General features: G+C 38.6%; 1 protein-coding gene across 6 annotated transcripts in view; it reads right to left on the reverse strand.

Annotated features, from left to right (window-relative positions):
- The window catches only part of SCML2 (Scm polycomb group protein like 2), a 115,806-nt gene that overhangs the window by 5,974 nt on the left and 90,645 nt on the right, over window positions 1-19,187 (reverse strand). For all 6 annotated transcript variants that reach the window (NR_033717.2, XM_017029219.2, XM_006724458.1 and 3 more), the window contains 5 exons: window positions 14,885-15,005; window positions 12,758-12,961; window positions 11,562-11,744; window positions 2,483-2,596; window positions 1,291-1,542 (listed from right to left, as the gene is read on the reverse strand). Coding sequence is in view for 5 of the 6 variants with exons in the window: in XM_017029219.2 (XP_016884708.1) it covers window positions 1,291-1,542; window positions 2,483-2,596; window positions 11,562-11,744; window positions 12,758-12,961; window positions 14,885-15,005 (874 nt within the window). In the remaining variant the exon portion in view is untranslated. The remainder of the gene's footprint in view (window positions 1-1,290; window positions 1,543-2,482; window positions 2,597-11,561; window positions 11,745-12,757; window positions 12,962-14,884; window positions 15,006-19,187) is intronic.

Genomic DNA, 19,187 nt, shown 5'->3' on the forward strand with positions numbered 1-19,187 from the left:
CCAATACCGGCTACCTTAGTGTTTGACATACATTTCAAAGTGAGATATTCACCATTAGAAGTAACCTTATACTGAGAAAGCCTATCGCCAAAAGGTCATACTTTGTGAAAATACTTTAAAATGCAAGGTATACTAGCCATTATGGAGTAAGCATCTATTGTTAGACTCTGCAAGCTATGTCACTCTAAAGGCAGAGACAATCTCCAGAGGGGATGGGGCTGACAACATTAAATGTGTCATGGTGTGTGCACAGTGTGGTTGCCCATAGATAACACCCATGATCAAAGGCAAGGGTTCCCACTTCCTTCACTCCTCAACCTCGCCTGCATGCCTACCTGGAGAAAAAGGACAAAACACTTATTCCCACCCTCACTCTCCTGTACCCTTAATCCTTCAAAGGTACAGGGTATTAGCCCTCTTTGCACATGGAAGGCCGTTTTGGCTCCTTTCTTTCTTTCTTCTTTCTTTTTGAGATGGAGTTTCACTCCTGTTGCCTAGGCTGGAATGCAATGGCGCAATCTCGGCTCACTGCAACCTCTGCCTCCCGGGTTCAAGTGATTCTCCTGCCTCGGGCTCCCAAGTAGCTGGGATTACAGGCATGCATCACCATGCTCAGCTAATTTTGTATTTTTAGTAGAGACAGGGTTTCTCCACGTTGGTCAGGCTGGTCTCAAACTCCCGACTTCGGGTGATCTGCCTGCCTCGGCCTCCCAAAGTGCTAGGATTACAGGTGTGAGCCACCCCGCGCCTGGCCTGTTCTGGCTCTTTCTAAATGGCAACAGGATATTGCCCTACTTATACATGTCATGACTTCCTGGTGGGTCTGAGGAAGGATGTGGAGAGTGAGGAAATGGTGTGGCTGTGGTAACAAGATGCCAGCCCGAATCCAGGAGTCAACACAGGCTGAGGCCAGGAATGTCTCAAGAGAGACGAAGAAAAGTGTACAACAGAAAGGAGAGGGACTGTCTTTCCAGGCCTCAGAGTCATGAGAGGTTTGTGAGTCCAGACGGTACCCAAGGAAATGATAAATTACAACTGTTCAAGCACTACTAATCTGAGAAGTCTCTATCAGAGACATGGTTGGTGATCCAGATCCCTAGAGACAGTTCTGTGCTGTCAAGAGGATTGGAGGATCCATAATGGTCTGACCTGACAGTGATGTGAAAGAGAGGACTCAGCCTCCCAAATTTTAGCACTTTCTCCAATGTGATACTCTCAGGGGATGCTGTTAGGTATGAAAATCTCAAGGCAAAAGACAAACACATTGAGAGTCACTATTTTTGAACATACCTTCACTTTTCCTCTGCATTTGGAATTTAACTTCATGGGGACTGCTCTTGGGGGATATGTCCCCAACTAGTGGTGAACTTGTGGTGCCTGGCACACTTCGAGAAAAATCCTGGGAGACTGAAGTATGAATATACATAGGATTTCTACAGGCAGGATTCAAATAATTTCCTGAATTTAGTGATGAGCTCTTAGAATCTTCTGAAAGATTCTCCTCTTTGGGAATGGCACTTCCCCCAGCAAACAATGGTTCTCCTACAGGGAAAAAGACAAAGGAGGCTATCTTCAATAGACTTACAATTCAAATACTACTAAAAGGTTAAAAATCTCATCCCTAGCAATAGTTCACTTAACTTGTGCTATACTGAACCACAATGCTCTAACACAAAGTTCATGGCTATCCCCTCCTTGGTATGGATGCATACACTGATTGATTGAGACAAAGTTTTGCTCTTGTTGCCCAGGCTGGGGTGCAGTGGTGCAATCTTGGTTCACTGCAACCTCCGCCTCCTGGGTTCAAGCAATTCTCCTACCTCAGCCTCCCGAGTAGCTGGGAGTACAGGCGCCTGCCACCATGCCTGGCTAATCTTTTGGGTTTTTTTTAGTAGAGACAGGGTTTCATCATGTTGGCCAGGCTGGTCTCGAACTCCTGACCTCAGATGATCCACCCGACTTGGCGTTCCTTGGCATTTATATTAATGGACATTGTCCTACAGTCCAAAGTGATTCCATATCACCTATATTTTTCATAGTAACTTACTATCATTTGCCAGTCTTGCCACCAAGGCTATAAACACCTCACTGAAGCATTTGTTTTTAGAAATGCAGTTCTTCATTACTATTTGTTATAATATGATCATACAGTTGGTTTCTAACATTTGTTTACTACTTGGGCAGTTACATTCTCTGGAGAAAGGCAGTAGGTTTTTCTATTCTTCTTTCTGCCAGTTTTTAGCAATACAAAAGTGAAGGAAAAAGGTTATTACAATTTTTTTTTAATCTATGGAGAAATGACAGCCGTCCACTTCTGAAGGGAATGAAGGGTTCAACAAAGCTGTCCAAGTAGTAGCCTAACTGCCAAACTTGTTTGGGCAAATTTACCTCCCTACCTCCAATACTACCACCCCAAGAGTATACATAAGTGGTAGCAGAGAAACATTTCTTCCCAGTCCTGGGAGGTGTAAATGCTATTTACCTTCAGACGCATACTCCTTTGTTTTGGGGAGCTTAGGAGAGAGAGGAACAACATATGGTACAGTTTGCTGAGGAGATCGTTTGGTGCTTTGCCTTTCTGTTACATCTTCTTTTGCTGTTTTCAAAGAAAAAACAGTTGTCTGTTATAACGAACTAATATACTCAAGCATTTTCATATCATCAGCATGAAACACTTCTGTTTCTACATCATTTGCCTACAATACCTTCATTGAGAACTTCTCAATTATTTGATGTTCATGAATAACATGTGTCTATTTCATCCTATTTTATATTTTCACTGAAATAATATTCAAGAGTTAAAAGCATTTCCAGAAGGAGCATATCTAGGCTTCTTTATTCTGAGGTTATCAGATCTCTCTAAATATCTCACAAGACAGTGAGGCAACCCATTAAAATGTGTCTAAAATGGCCTGAGAAAATTGTTCCCATGAGCCAGAGGAGTTAAAACTTCAGAGAAATTAAATGATATAATATAATGAACATCCATTTTGTTAAGTAACAATCCTGGCCTAGAGCTACCCTTAAAACAAGTCTACTGCTTACTTATCATTCAACCAAATGCACTTCTACCTAAAGGACCACTCCGTAAAGCATGATCCTGAAAGTAAAGACAGCTTTAATTATCAGTTATACCCTAAGTATCAACAAATATCCTGATTTAACCTCCAACTAAAAGGACAAATAAGGTGTAAGAGAAATCTAAAAAGTCTGATAGTAGACCTCAAAAGAGAAGAAAGATTGCAATGAGTATCAAAGTCAAACTTCATCTGGTTCAAAATTTTGGCTGAGGGCCAGGCATGCTTCTCAAAATCTTATGATGAGCAACCTTTAGCTCAATCTAGTTACTCAGTGAATCCCAATGAGTCCAGTAGAGCTCTTACCACTTTAGTTTCATTTTTAATAATGGACTGTAAAACCAACAGGCAAAACATATCTCATATTTCTACAATTAAGACATTAAATTCTAAGGAAAGAAATAACTGGCTTTTCATACCCATTTAATAATATGGAATATTCGAGTTCTAAAATATAGTTTTCTATAAATGTTTATTTACCTCAGAATCTCGGCAAGATTAGAAAAAGTCTTCATCATTTATTTGTAATGTACTCATGCTTTATGAAAAGTTTATCAAGCTGGGTATGGTCTACTATCTGGGGCTGAAACAAATATAAAATTGACTCGACTTCTGCTTCTGCGTATTGTAGTAAGCTAAGGGAGCAAAGTGTTCCTACAGAGATAACTAGGAAAAGCCAGGTAATTTACAAAGTATTTTTTAAATCATCAGAGAAGCACTTCCAGGATGACTGATCAAAGACCTCCAAAAATCTACTCCTTCATAAAAACAATGAAAACACTGGCAAAAACTATAAAAACTATCTTTTTCAAAACTCTGGAAATTAAAGACTTGCAACAATCCAAAGTGTTTAAGAAAAATGGATGGATCTCAGAAAAAAACAGCAAATTCTGTGGCATTTTAACTTGCCCTAATATAATCCCCCTCACCCCATTTTCACAGTAGCCTTGAAAACCAACACTTCACAACTACAGCAGGTGTGAAAAACAGCCATGCGATAATCGCTGGAGGGGGCACAATGGGTTTGGAGCTCTCCAAAAGCCCCATGCCCAGAGAACTATCACTATTAGACCAGTCTCGAAGCTCACTGAAAAGCTCCTTTTCAGGGTTTGTCTTTTTTTGACCTAAATTAGAGCTTGTTCTGTGTGAACAACCCCATCTCCAGGGCATCTGACGGGGGAAAATGGTGGCAACTGTTTAACTTTGCAGCTGCCTGAGACAATATTACCAGTCAGGGCTAACAACAGGCTGGCCAAAAAGCTTAAAAGGAAAAACTGGGTATAAGATGTCCCCTAGGAGACTTTGAAAAACACAAACATATTCCTGGGAATCTAGACGGTTCACATGCATATGCACAGATGTATACATGCATGTCCAGGAAAGACATGAGAACACCCTAATCTTTCATCTCTGGCTGACCTTGAGGCTCTGCACAAGGTTGACTTACAAGCTGCCTCTTGGAGCACTGAAGTTATGTCCCAACACACACAGAAAATCCCTTGGCCAAGGCTGGGAGATACACTGGTTCCAGGCATTTAAGGAAATATCTACCCAATCATTAGCTAACCACATTAAGCTAACCAAGCAGACTTCAGTGGCCACTCTTAACAAAGAAACACAGACTTTACAGAATTAGTCGAGGAAAAGTCACTAAACAGCACCAGCAACAACAACAAACCCTAGGGAGAAGGGAATCTGATTTCCAGAGTTGCCATTATATGATTTTTAAATGTCCAGTTTTCAACAAAAAAAAAATGAGACATGCAAAGAAACAGTATGGTCCATACAAAGGAAAAAAAAATCAGTAAACAGAAACTGTCCCTAAGGAAGCCCAGACACTGGACTTACTAGACAAATACTTTATTTTGGGACACAGTCTCACTCTGTTGCCCATGCTGGAGTGCAATGGCATGATCTCAGCTCACTGCAACCTCTGCCTCCCAGGTTCAAATGATTCTTGTGCCTCAGCCTCCCAAGTAGCTGGGATTATAGGCACATGCCACCACGCCTGGCTAATTTTTTTTTTTCTTTTTTTTGAGATGGAGGCTCGCTCTGTCACCCAGGCTGGAGTGCAGTGGTGCGATCTCGGCTCACTGCAAGCTCTGCCTCCCGGGTTCATGCCATTCTCCTGCCTCAGCCTCCCGAGTAGCTGGGACTACAGGCACCCGCCACCACACCTGGCAATTTTTTTTTGTATTTTTAGTAGAGACGGGGTTTCACTGTGTTAGCCAGGATGGTCTCGATCTCCTGGCCTTGTGATCCACCCACCTCGGCCTCCCAAAGTGCTGGGATTACAGGTGTGAGCCACTGTACCCGACCTAGACAAATACTTTAAATCAACTATTATAAATATTTTCAAGGACCTAAAAAATGAAAATCATGTCTAAAGAACTAAAAAAAAGGCTGGTGTATTAGTCTGTTCTCAGACTGCTAATAAAGACATACTGGAGACTGGGTAATTTATAAAGAAAAAGAGGCTTAATAGACTCACAGTTCCACATGGCTGGGGAGGACTCACAATCATGGCAGAAGGCAAAGGAGGAGCAAAGGCACGTCTTACATGGCAGCAGGCGGAAGTGCAGAGCAAAGGGGGGAAGCCCCTTATAAAACCATCAGATCTCATGAGAACTCACTCACTATCACAAGAACAGCATGAGGGTAACTGCCCCCATGATTCAATTACCTCCTACTGGGTCCCTCCCATGACCTGTGGGGATTATGGGAACTATAATTCAAGATGAGATTTGGGTGGGGACACAGCCAAACCATGCCACCTCATCTCTACTAAAAATACAAAAATTAGCCAAGTGTGGGGGCACACACCTGTAGTCCTGGCACTCTGGAGGCTGAGGTGGGAGGACTGCTGGAAACTGGTGGCAGAGGTTGCGGTGAGCCAAAATCACACCACTGCACTCCAGCCTGGGTAACAGAGCAAGATTCCATTGCAAAAAAAAAAAAAAAAAAAAAAAAAAAAGTAGGAAGTGAAAAGACAACCCCAAAGAATGGGATAAAATACATGCAAAGCATATACCTCATATAGGACTTGTATCCAGAATATACGAAGAACTCTTATGACTCAACAATAAAAAGACAATGAAACCAATTAAAAATGGACAAAGGATTCGAACAGACATTTCTCTGAAGATATACAAATGGCCAAAAAGCATAAGAAAAGATGCTCATCATCAACTACTGGAAAAATGCAAATCACACCATAATGAGATACCATTTCGCACCTGCTAGAATGGGTATAATGAAAAAGATGGACAATAACAAGTGTTTAAAAGGAAAAATTGAAACTTTCATTCACTGCTGATGAAAATGTAAAATGGTATAACCTCTTTGGAAAAGTCTGTCAGGTCCTCATCAAGTTAAACAGAGTTAACCATATGACCCAACAATTCCACTCCTAGGTTTGTACCTGAGAGAACACGTATCCACACAAAAACTTATATACAAATGTTCATTGCAGCAGCATTCCTAATAGCCAAAAAGTGGAAACAATCCAGAAGTACATCAATTGATAAATGGATAAACATAATATAGCCATACAATAGAATATTATTCAGCCATAAAAAGGAATGAAGCACTGATACATGCTACCACATGGGTGAACCTTGAAAACATAGGGTGGGCACAGTGGCTCACACCTGTAATCCCAGCATTTTGGGAGGCCAAGATGGGCAGATCACTTGAGGTCAGGAATTCGAGACCAGCCTGGATGACATAGTGAAACCACGTCTCTACTAAAAATACAAAAATTAGCTGTGTATGGTGGTGTGCACCTGTAGTCCCAGCTACTCAGGAGGCTGAGGCAGGAGAATAGCTTGAACCCAGGAGGCAGAGGTTGTGGCGAGCCAAGATCACACCACTGCACTCCAGCCTAGGCAACAGAGCGAGACTCCGTCTCAAAAAAACAAAACAAACAAACAACAAAACACATTATGCTAAGTGAAAGAAGCCACACACAAAGGTTGCATATTATATGATTCTATTAATATGAAATGTCTAGAATAGGAAAATCTATAAAGACAGAAGAAAGTCAATAAATGGTATCCAGTGGTGAGGGGGAAAAGACATTGAGGGATGATAGTTAATAGGTATGGGATTTCTATTGGGGGTGATGAAGACAGTGGTGATGACTGCACAACTCTGTGAATACACTTAAAAAATACTGAATTGTATACTTCTAAAAGGGTGAAATTATGGTATGTGAATTATATCTCAATAAAGTTACTATAAGAAAAGCATCCTCAAAGTATAGCAGTCATAGGAACTAATAAAATCCAATTCCAGAAGGGAAGAACCATTCTAGTCTAAACTGAAGATTTCGTCATATTTTTTCCCTGTAGGAATCTGCTGATTCTTGGCACTACAGTGAAAATAGAACTTGACACAGGCAGAGGGCCATACCTAGGCAAAAATAAATCAAAAAAGATTTAGCAGCTTCACACAGCTGGAGTGACAAATCAGAAACTCAAACTCAGCTGGTTTTCCCCCATGGGATATTTGCCAAGTTCTGGAGCTATACAGGAAGCTGGGGAGTTAGGCTGAAAACTCTTAAAAGGCACGCTGAAATCTCTCACAGTCTCATGATGCTTAAGAAATAAAGACCCACCAGGGGGTCTTTATTTTATTGTGTGTTTGTGGCAAACACACAAGCCACCTAAACACAGGTGCAAAGTTGTGATAATACATGAGGAAGAAGGCTAAAGAGCTGAGCAGCAAACCCCTGAAGAAGGGAAGTACAATTCCCCAGTCTTTCAAGGCTAAGGAGCTAGGGAATTCCCAGGTTCTCAATCAAAATCCTGGGAAAGTAACACCTGAAGAATAGCGAGGAATCAGGAGATAGACTGAGTCTTACTAAAACTGCTATTCAGTCCCAACCCAGCTCAATCACTGAATGGAATGAGCCCTCCTTCTTTCTGCTTAAAAAAGAGGAAACTTTTTAAGGTAGAAATCTGGAGCTTCTGCAGATCTTTTATATACAATGTCCCATATACAAAAAAATAGTGGTAAACATGCAAAGAAGTAAGACCATATAACCAACTATTGAGAGAAAAACTACTGGTGTCAGTAGACAAAGACTATAACGCAATTTTGATGAATATGTTCAAGAAAACAGGAAAAATGGACAGAAAAGATCAAAGAATAAAAAATTTCACCTAAGAATTATAATCTATTTAAAAAAGCAGAGAGCTGATAGGAAAGTAAACTGAGGCAACCACTTTGAAAAACTGTTTGGCAGTATCTACTAAAGCTTAATCTATGCATTTCCTGTGACCTAGCAATTCCCTCCAAGATAGATACAGGAACAGAAAGACGTGTATAGAATGTTCATGATAACACTATTTATAAGAGTACAAAACATAACACTATTTATAAGGGCACAAAACAGAAAGCACTCAAATGGATACATACCATGGTAGCATATTTATACAACAGAATATTATACAGCAATGAGAATGAATGATCTAACTATATGCAACAATACAGATGAAACTTACAAACATAATGATAGGCCAAAAAAGCTAGGCACAAGAGTAAATGCTGTATAATTCCATTTCTATAAAGTTCAAAAATAGGCAAAAGTAATATATGGTACTAGAAGTCAGGACAGTAGGTATCCTTGTGCGAAGTGAGGGGTAGTAGTGGATTAAAGGGGGTTTGACACATTAGCAGTGCTTCTAGGGTACTAGTAATAGCTACTTTTCCAACCAGTGACTGATTATACAGGCATGAAAATTAATCAAGCTACATTCCATGTATAATTTTCTCTATGTATACTATACTTCAGTAAAATGTCTTCAAAATTACTGCTAAAATATGCAAACACTAGATTTGTCAGAATCAAAGTCTCCTAAGAAGAGCACTCTATCTTAAACTATTTTTGAGTCACTTATTTTAAAAAATGTAAGAGAAATGGGATACTAGACGTGAAATCTTAGTAATAACCTCATAGCATTTATATGCAACTTCTTTAACTACAAGCTGACTTAAGAAAAACATAAGAGTTCCAACTCAAAGCCATTTTCAAATGGCTAAATTAAGCTTTCTGTGACAGAAAATTAATAACCCCTAAAATAATGTAAAATATGTGGATTATTCAGTGTATTTTTTCAAATAGTTACCTATTCTGATTATTTGATTAATCTGAAAATTCAAACATTTTGTGTTCAATTTAAAGAAGAATTACATTTTCTTTAAAATCTTTCAAAGAATGAGGCTTTGTAAATTACTGGCATTCTTAATGCTTTGTGTAAGAAATCAGGAAATTGGGCCTGGCATGGTGGCTCAGGCCTGTAATCCCAGCACTTTGGGAGGCCAAGGTGGAAGGATCACTTGAGGCCAGGAGTTTGAGACCAGCCTGGTCAACAAGGTGAAACTCCACCTCTACTAAAAATACAAAAATTAGCCAGGCGTGGTGGCAGGTACCTGCAATCCCAGCTATTCGGGAGGCTGACACAAGAGAATCACTTGAACCCAGGAGGCGGAGGTTGCAGCGAGCCGAGATGGTGTCACTACACTCCAACCTGGGTGACAGACTGAGACTCTGTGTCCAAAAAAAAAGAAATCAGGAAATTGTACTCTCAACATCTCCAACTCGTATTTTTCCCCAAATTACTCTTAGAAACAGAAAACCTATCAATACACAGACACCCCTCTTCCCACACAGGTGGCCCTTCCCTTCCTAGCCATCTTCCAAATTTCCTACCATTTTGGATGACCTCCTACCTCTCCTGAAGAAGGAAAAAAAAAGGATAATATCACATGAAAACATGAAACCTCACTCTTCCTCTTCCCCCTAGTTCTAACAGCTACCTTTTATTGCTCCTACTTCATGCCAGGCATAATGCAGGCTAAGAATTTACATATACTTTCTTTCAATTTCACAACCAAAGAGGTATCCACTTTGCAGATAAGGAAACTGAGAACTAGAGAGGCTCAGTACTTTGTCTATGGGCACATAGCTAGTTAACAGCAGGAACTGAATTAAAATGTAGGCCGGTCAGACTTTATACTCTTTCAGCAGAGATTACAAGGCCAGGATTGGAACCCAGGTCTGACAAACTCCAACACCTGTGCTCTCCATGCCACTGCTTCTCCATGTATACTTTTTGCAAGCATGTCACAGTATCATACCTTTATTTCAAAGGGACTCACTGGACAGCTACACCAGAGGGGAGAAACTGGAAAGAGGACTCCAGTTAGAAGCCTGCTTTACTAAACCAGAGAAGGGGTTAGTACAGTCTGAAGCAGGGTAGTAACAAGGAAATGGAAAAAAGGGGATGGATATGAGAGATGTCACTGAAGTAGAGGAGACAAGCTTTATGAAGAAGGGTGAGGGTAACCAGGAGGACCAGAAAAAAAAGTAGTAGCTAGAGACGTGGTACCCACGCTTCACACTTGAGTGGCACGTGAATTAGAATCCCTGGACTTAAAAAGATAGTCTGTGATGGTACTCTGTATTTCCAGAATCAGCAGCAGCTGGCCAGAAAACCATGCGGCAATAACACCTGAGAACTTCAGCTACTCTTAAAAGACCCACATACAATCCTGCCATGATCAATAGAACACAGTTAGCTTTCATGAGTCACATGAAAAAGAGACAAACCACTCCCAAAAAACAAACAGCACTTGCATAAAAGCTGAAAGAGCTTTCTTGCTTTAGGGATCAGAAGCAAGAAACCCACTTTTGGTTCTACAGGGCTATCTTACACCTACCCTTTTATTCAGGCATCGGTTTGGGGTTCTTATGGAAGAGAAGCAACCATGGTTCAAATGTCAAATTCAAGCATATCACAGGCTGGGTGTGGAGGCTCACACCTGTAAATCCCAGCACTTTGGGAGGCCAAGGCGGGAGGATCACTTAAGGTCAGGAGTTCAAGACCACCCTGGCCAACATGGCAAAACCCTGTCTCTACTAAAAATACAAAAATTAGCTGGGCATGGTGGTGGGCGCCTGTAATCCCAGCTACTCGGGAGGCTGAGACAGGAAGATCGATTGAATCTGGGAGGCGGAGGTTGCAGTGAGCCGAGATTGTGCCACTACACTTCAGCCTGGGGTGACAGAGTGAGACTCTGTCTCCAAAAACAACAACAAAACCGTATCATCATTTGTCAAACCTCAATGACAACAAAATTATCTTTATAGCCAATAGGCTCAACACGCTTTGCTAACTTCTGAGGATTATAAAAGTCAGTAACTTTAAAGCCATACTTCAGTCTAATAGAGAATGTTTAACTCTGTGAGGTAGTCAAAATGAAGCCAAACATAAGTAAGCCATGGGCTTTGATTCTGAAGTTCATTATGAATACAAGAAATTACTTTCCTATTTTGAATGAACAAAAACAACTATATGTTATACATTTCTAATTAGTTCACTGTGGCTAAAATGTTTACTTTGAGGAGAACACAAGGAAAAACAATTACACAAGATTCTCAAGTGAAACAGAAGTGTAAGAGTTTACATTTTCTCTCACCTGACTGATTTTTATCATGCTCTGCAGAGCTGTGAGTATGACCCCTGGAAGAACTAAAAGGCTGGCTACTCAAAAGGTTATCACACTGCAGACTGTGGCAGAAGTTCTCAAGAAAGCGAAGAGCAAATGATGCACTGTTCACTGGAGGGAGCTGGATGGAATGAGTTTCCCCATCAAAGGAGGCTATTGGGGGAAAAAAAAGGATGTCAGTAACCTCAGAGAGATGAGAAATACAACACTAATTAAAAAAAAAACTATCACCTTAGGAAAGGTATTATAAGTCTAATTTGTGTTCTTTGTAATTCATAAAGGAATGATCTTATATTATAAAAGCTCCTCTCAAACACAATAGCCTGTATTGGTAAAAACATCCTCATTTGAAAATACTCTTAAGTCAACAACAACAACAGAAACTCACTGATCTATGTAACACTTCCTTCTATTCCAAATATTCCATGGGTATGAATGTTGTGGTGTCTGATCATAGCCACCAACACTATCTTATTGCTTAGTGACTTCTTGAGTCACATATTTATTTAGAGCTTCTTATAGATAAAATATATTATCAGCCAAGGTACTCTGCCTATAGTGAGCTTAACACAGCATGTAAAACGAAGAATCTGTGACTTTTGTCCCAATTTACATTATTCTGACATCATTTGTCCATTTTAAAAGTAAACTTTTCAAACCAGGGCTTAAAGTCTATAAACATATAACTCCTATAAATGTTCTATTATACTAATATAATAAATATTACAGGCTAGGTGCGGTGGCTCACACCTGTAATCCCAGCATTCTGCGAGGCCAAGGTGGGCAGATCACATGAGGCCAGGAGTTCACGACTAGCCTGGGCAACATGGCAAAACCCTGTCTCTACTAAAAATACAAAAGTTAGCCAGGCATGATGGCGCATGCCTATAATCCCAGCTACTCAGGAGGCTAAGGTGGGAGAATCGCTTGAACCTGGGAGGTGGAGGCTGCAGTGAGCCAAGATCACACCACTGCACTCCAGCCTGGGTGACAGAGTGAGACCCTGTTCTAAAAAGATGAAGGAAGAAAGAAGAAAGGGCGGGGGAGGGGGAAGGGGAGGGGAAAGGGGAAGGGGAGAGGAAAGGGAAGGGGGAAGGGAAGGGGGAAGGGAAGGGGGAAGGGAAGGGGGAAGGGACTGAATTAGACAATGTATTAGATAAGTATACCAGTTATCACTTCTCCTCCACGATTATCTGGCTTCAGGTATCCAAAAACAGTTTTAGTTTCAAGGGCACAATCCACACAGGCCTGCACAATCCGGCGAAGCACCACATTCACCGGGCCCGGGCCGAAGTGGTCAGGCAGCTGCTGGATTCTCTTGGGATCCAGATGAGGGCCAAAGTTTCCATGTTTGTTTACATAGACACAGACTTGAGAAAAAATGCGTATGCATACATAACAATGAGACTGATTAAAAGAAATTTTGTGAAAACACTACATAATCAATTACTATATCCCACTATCCACTTCACTCACAGAAAACCTAAATATAGTTAATATCAATGATCATTTCTGCTACCTAAAAATATGTAAATATATTTTTACATTGATGCAAAGACACTGAACCCACAAAGAAACAATCAAAATGTTTATTCAATTTTTTAGAATCTTGTCCAAACTGATGATATAAAATCTACAGACATTTTAGGCACATCACAAAAACAATTCTTCATACATTCCCACATTATATAAAATGGCACAAAGACAGATGAATATTTTCATCTTTTAATTGTATACACAGTACAAGAATTTCCTTTCAAAACGGGTCATCTTGCTATGCTCTTTTTTGGACTGAATTTATTTTAAATCACCAATACTGCACCTCAATTATATTTTCTAAAGTAACCAAACAATTTAAGATATATATAACAAGTTATATTGATATATATTAATATTTTATTAATTTTAGGAAAATAAAAATGTTCCTTCTATATATACCAAGATTCATGGAAGAAAATTTTAAAATAAACTCTTTCCTTAGTATAATAAAAGCATATGATATAGAAGCAATTCATCTATAATCACATAAATGCCAACTTCCAATAATTTTCTTTACTGAGAATCAACAAATGCAAATCAATATACACTATAAAAACATGAGGGAAGCTGGGCGCAGTTGGTCACGCCTGTAATCCCAGCACTTTGGGAGGCCAAGGTGGGCGGATCAACTCAGGTCAAGAGTTTGAGACCAGCCTGGCCAACATAGTGAAACCCCATCTCTACTAAAAATACAAAAATTATCTGGGTGTGGTGGCACATGCCTGTAGTCCCAGATACTTGGGAGGCGAGGCAGAAGAATCACTTGAACCCGGGAGGCAGAGGTTGCATTTAGCCAAGATCACGCCACTGCACTCCAGCCTGGGTGATGAAGTGAGACTGTCTCAAAAAAAAAAAAAACAACAAAGAAACAAAACATGAGGGCACATCACTACCAAAAATAAAATAAATTGTCCCCCTAAGAAGCATGTTATTTTTAATCCATTAATTAATATTGCAAAACTTTCACACACACATAGTCTATATTTAGTATAAGAAAACTGATCAATCTCAGTTTTGCTCTGTTGAAATATACAATTCAATTTTGTGGCAACAGCCAGAGGAAGGACTGTTATCCTTCAGAAATGAAATAGCTATTAAAAATTCAACCCACGGTGCTGATGACATGGACAAATTCTACTGAACACAAGCGAAGCTAAACAAGGATTTCAATGTTTTATCTCCTTTGTGTTATATCCATTTAGCTAGTCTTTCCTGCTAATTAAAAATCAGAAATAATAAACTGAAAAAAATGAGATATGTTACAACAATCATTTTTAAAGTGACTTCTATTTTTAAAAAACTAAATTTACTTTTAGTCAGGAAAGAAAAATTAAAAGGAAAAAAAAGTCCAGGGAATAGGAGAGTGTAAGGGAGATAATTTTTAAAAGGCATTAAGAAAAGGTTTGAGGCAGCTTTGAAAATACATACCATACAAAAAGACAAATTTTGAAATGAGATAAAGGGAAAACAAGAATAGATTGGACAATGTAAATTGCATAAATCTTACTTAAATGGATAAAATACTTTAAGAGTATCTGAATTTTCAAGTGACTCATGTATTTAAAGACTTTTTCCTTAATGTAAAATGGAACAATCAGAATTTCAAAATACTTTAATATGAAAAATGCAAAGATAAATGTTTAATATTACCATCTTTTTCCCTTATTATTTTATTTCCAGGACTTCGAAGACACTGAAAATAATACAGGATAAAAGATTAGTAATTCTATACTATTTTTAAAATATGAATTTACCTGTAGACATCACTATTTTACATGGCCCAGAAGCGACATCTTTATATAACATGCCACGGTCTCTGGTCAGCGATTTTAGAGAAGCTGCAGATGTAGAACATATCACGGGCAAAGGTTTTTCCTGTTAAAAACAAAGGGAAAAAAACACAAGTATACAATACTCATTAATATATTCTTAGATAAGAAAGTCAGAAATTATAAATATCATTGGTTTATAAAATTATTAGTTATCAGAAGTCCTCAGGTTGGAAACTCCCGTGTGTGTCATGAACTGCAGAACTTTCCAAACTGAGCTTCTCAGAGGACCACAAACTGTCCAGGTAGGGGAGAAAGAGACCAAATGGCTGGGATTCCCTGTCCTACCCCTGCTCCAACTAATCACACCTTAGCCAAATTAGATTATTCCATAAAACATACTTTATTTTTTGAGGTTCCCTGTAAGACAAGTTTTTTCACATTGCTAAAGAAAAGTCTGTAAATCTCTAACCCAGAGCAATACCTCCAATAGAAAAAAAATCTCAGCAAGGCAGAGGACAGAGTTTATTTTCAGAAAGAAGTTGCTCATCTAGTTAGTCTTCGCTGTGTCTAACCCACAGTTCTCCATATTACATACAATAATTCTGACAAAATCACAACAGATGGCTTGCTAAAGTCTATACAAAATTATGCCTACTGCCTATAAGAACCAATGTTTCCTGAGCATTGTTAAACTTCACTAGCATTTTGTTTATTTTACATCAACTCTTGGGGTTTTCCAGGAGCTACCTTCAAACATGACTCTCCAATATAAGAGAAGGGACTCCTGTGCATAGAAAAGGTAATAACAGAGGGCATTTAAAAGGCAGGAACAAAGGAGTAAAAAATAGAACATTCGATGTTGCTGAAATTTATTTGCTTAAATTAATGGCTGTCGTTTGGGTTGACAGTAATCTAGTAAACCACATTTTTTGTTTATTTAACATTGATACAGTGTTCTTTATCAATGTTAAAGAAACAAAAAATGTGATTTTTTTTTTTTTGTCTTGCTATGTTGCCCTGGCTGGATTTGAGCTCCTGGGCTCAAGGGATCCTCCTACCTCCGCCTCCCAAAGTGCTGGGATTATAGGCATGCGCCACTGCCTGGACACAATCATGTTATTTTTCAGTACTGAATTATAATTACTGGGTTGACCATGTCATTCTTTCACTATTTTAAAAATCTGAAATCTGAATCCTTTGTCTTGAGACATACCAAGATAGTATGTTTGCATTAACACTGCAAATTGAATAAAGGTACATTCATTAAGAAAATGTGCTCCTGCACTCCTCCCTTAAGGGGAGGAAGAAAATGACAACTTGTATCCAAATATGACATAGATCCCATAAATACATACAAGTATTATGTATTCATAATAAAAAGTAAAAAACTTTTAAAATAATTTTTAAAAGATTAAAGTACCTGCCCCTTCTCCATCCCCATCATCAAATAAACAATGTTTTCAAAGAGAGCTCTCCAAAATTATCAAATTAGCTTGGAACTGGAAACTAAAGGAGTCAAAGGAAACTATTTGGTGTTATCTTACATTTTCACCATTATACCAACTAATCACAAAGACATTTCAGAAGCTGGAAAATATACACACATGTTAATTTTTTAATGCATTTAAAATATTATTTCACTTTAAATTTCACTATTAACTTTTCTTACTTTTATTTTTCATTTAAAAAATTTCATCTGCTACCATTTATATTAGAACAATCTGCCTGATTTTTTTCAATGTTCATGACTATATTTTTGAAATATTTAGCTTTGACTTTTGATTTTTATTTTGTAAATTTTGAGTGTTTTTAAAGAAAAATAACAGTATCAATATATTTTAAAATCACAATGTTATTTTTTTTCCATACAGCAAACATAAGTTGAAACAAAATGGAAATGTTATAGATACTGATATCGGATGGCTGAACTCAGGAATGTGTAAGATAATACTGCTGGCATTTAATTCAGTCAGCCACAAGAGATCTGAAAAGATTCTATGTCTTTATATTTAGAGTGCATCTCTTGTAGACAGGACATATTTGGGTCTTTAAAAAAAAATCCATGTTGATAATCTCTGTCTTTTTAACTAGAAAGGATAATCCACTAACTTTTCATGCAATTACCAGTATGTTTGGATCTGGGTCTACCTTTTTTTTTTTTTTTTTTTTTGAGATGGAGTCTCACTCTGTTGCCCAGGCTAGAGTGCAGTGGCGAAATCTCGGCTCACTGCAACCTCCACCTCCTGGGTTCAAGCGATTCTCGTGCCTCAGCTTCCTGAGTAGCTGGGATTACAGGCACCTGTGAGCATGCCTGACTAATTTTTGTATTTTTAGTAGAAATGGGGTTTCGCCATGTTGGCCAGGCTGGTCTTGAACTCCTGACCTCAGGTGATTCACCAGCCTCAGCCTCCCAAAGTGCTGGGATTACAGGCGTGAGCCACCACGCCTGGCTGGGTCTACTATTTCATTGCCTGTTTTTGATTTGTCTCCTCTGTGTTTGGTTCTGTTCCTCCTTTTCCTTTCCTTTTTTTTTCCCCCTTTGAGACAAGGTTTCACTCCTGTCACCCAAGCTGGAGTGCAAAGGCACCATCTCAGCTCACTGCAACCTCCACCTCCTAGGCTCAAGCAACTCTGCTGCTGCCTCAGCTTCCCATGTAGCTGGGGCTACATGCGTGTGCCACTGCACCCAGCTAATTTGTGTATTTTGTGTAGAGATGGGGTTTTGCCATGTTGCCCAGGCTGGTCTCAAACTCCTGGGTTCAAGTGATCTTTCTGCCTTGGCCTCCCAAAGTGCTGGGATTACAGGCATGAGCCACTGTACCCAGCCCCTCCTTTCCTTTTGTTAACAGTTTATATTCCTTAGAATATTTTATAATGAATATATTTGAATATTCAAATATTCCTTAGAATTACATTTTAATTTTCTATTGGCTTTTTAGCTATAATTCTTTGCATTTTTTTTTTTTACAATATGCCCTGGGGATTAGAATGTACATCCTTAACTTTCTACAAGCCACATAAAGTTAATATTGTACCACTTCACATAAAATGGTGAAATCTTGCAATGATATAGGATCCATATCCCCCACGTCAGGCCTTTATACTACAATTGTTTCATGTCTGTTAAATATAAACTCTGCAACACTGTATTGTAATTAGTTATAAATAGTCATGTTATTATAAGTCATTTGCATTTACCCAAAGATTTACCATCTTCAAAACAATTCCTTTCTCTTTGAGAAACCAGGTTTCCATCTGGTCTCATTTTCCTTTAAGCATTTCCTGCAGTGCTGGTTCGACAATGATTTATCTTAGTATGCTTTTATCTGAAAATGAAAATGTCCTCACCTTCATTCTTTTTAAGAAATATTTATATCTTTTGTTTCATAGAAAAGAGTAATAAGGAAAAGATTTCCTTCACAATAGCAACAAGAATCATAAAATATGCAGAAATAAATAAGAATAAACGAGAGTATAAATTATATGAAGAAAACTATTGAATTCTACTAAGGAATCTTTTCTACTTTATTAAGGTATAATTGACAAACAAAAATTATATATATTCTAAGTTCACCTTCATTCTAGAAGAGTATTTTTGATAGATACAGAATTTCAGGTTGATAGTTTTTTTTTTTTTTTTCCTTTCAGCCCTTTAAAGATGTTGTTCTACTCTCTTCTGGCCTCCATGGCTTTTGATGAGAAATGTCAGCTGTTAATCAAATTTTTGTTTCTCTGCATGTACTTTTTCATTCTTACATTGTTATCTTTAAGATTTGCTCTGTCTCTGGTTTTCAACAGTTTGACTCTAATATGCCTCAGCTTAGATAGATGTCTTTGTGCTTATTCTGTTTGCTCTTGGCTGAGTATTGTGTCTATGCATTTCTTTCATGACATTTGGAAAATTTTGAGACTTTATTTCTTCAAATATTTTTTCTGCTCCAGTTTCTCTTTCTTTTCCTTTTGGGACTCCAATTACATTGTATTGGACCTTTGATATTATCTAAAAGGTCTCTGGGTTCGTTTTCTTTCTCAATCTTAGTCTGAGTTTTTCACACTGGATAATTTCTATTCTTCTATCTTCCAGTTCATTTACTCTTTCTCCTGTCATCTCCAGTCAATTCTGGTTAATTTTGTCCAGTGAATCTTTTACTTCAGATATTGTATTTTTCAGTTCTTGAGTTTCAATTTGGCTCCTTTTTATCCTTTGTTTCTCCACTAAGATGGTCTTTTTAATCAGTACGATTGTGTGTGTGTGTGTGTGTGTGTGTGTGTGTGTGTGTGTGTG

The sequence above is a fragment of the Homo sapiens genome, chromosome X, assembly GCF_000001405.40.
Source record: "Homo sapiens chromosome X, GRCh38.p14 Primary Assembly".
Classification (NCBI taxonomy): domain Eukaryota; kingdom Metazoa; phylum Chordata; class Mammalia; order Primates; family Hominidae; genus Homo; species Homo sapiens.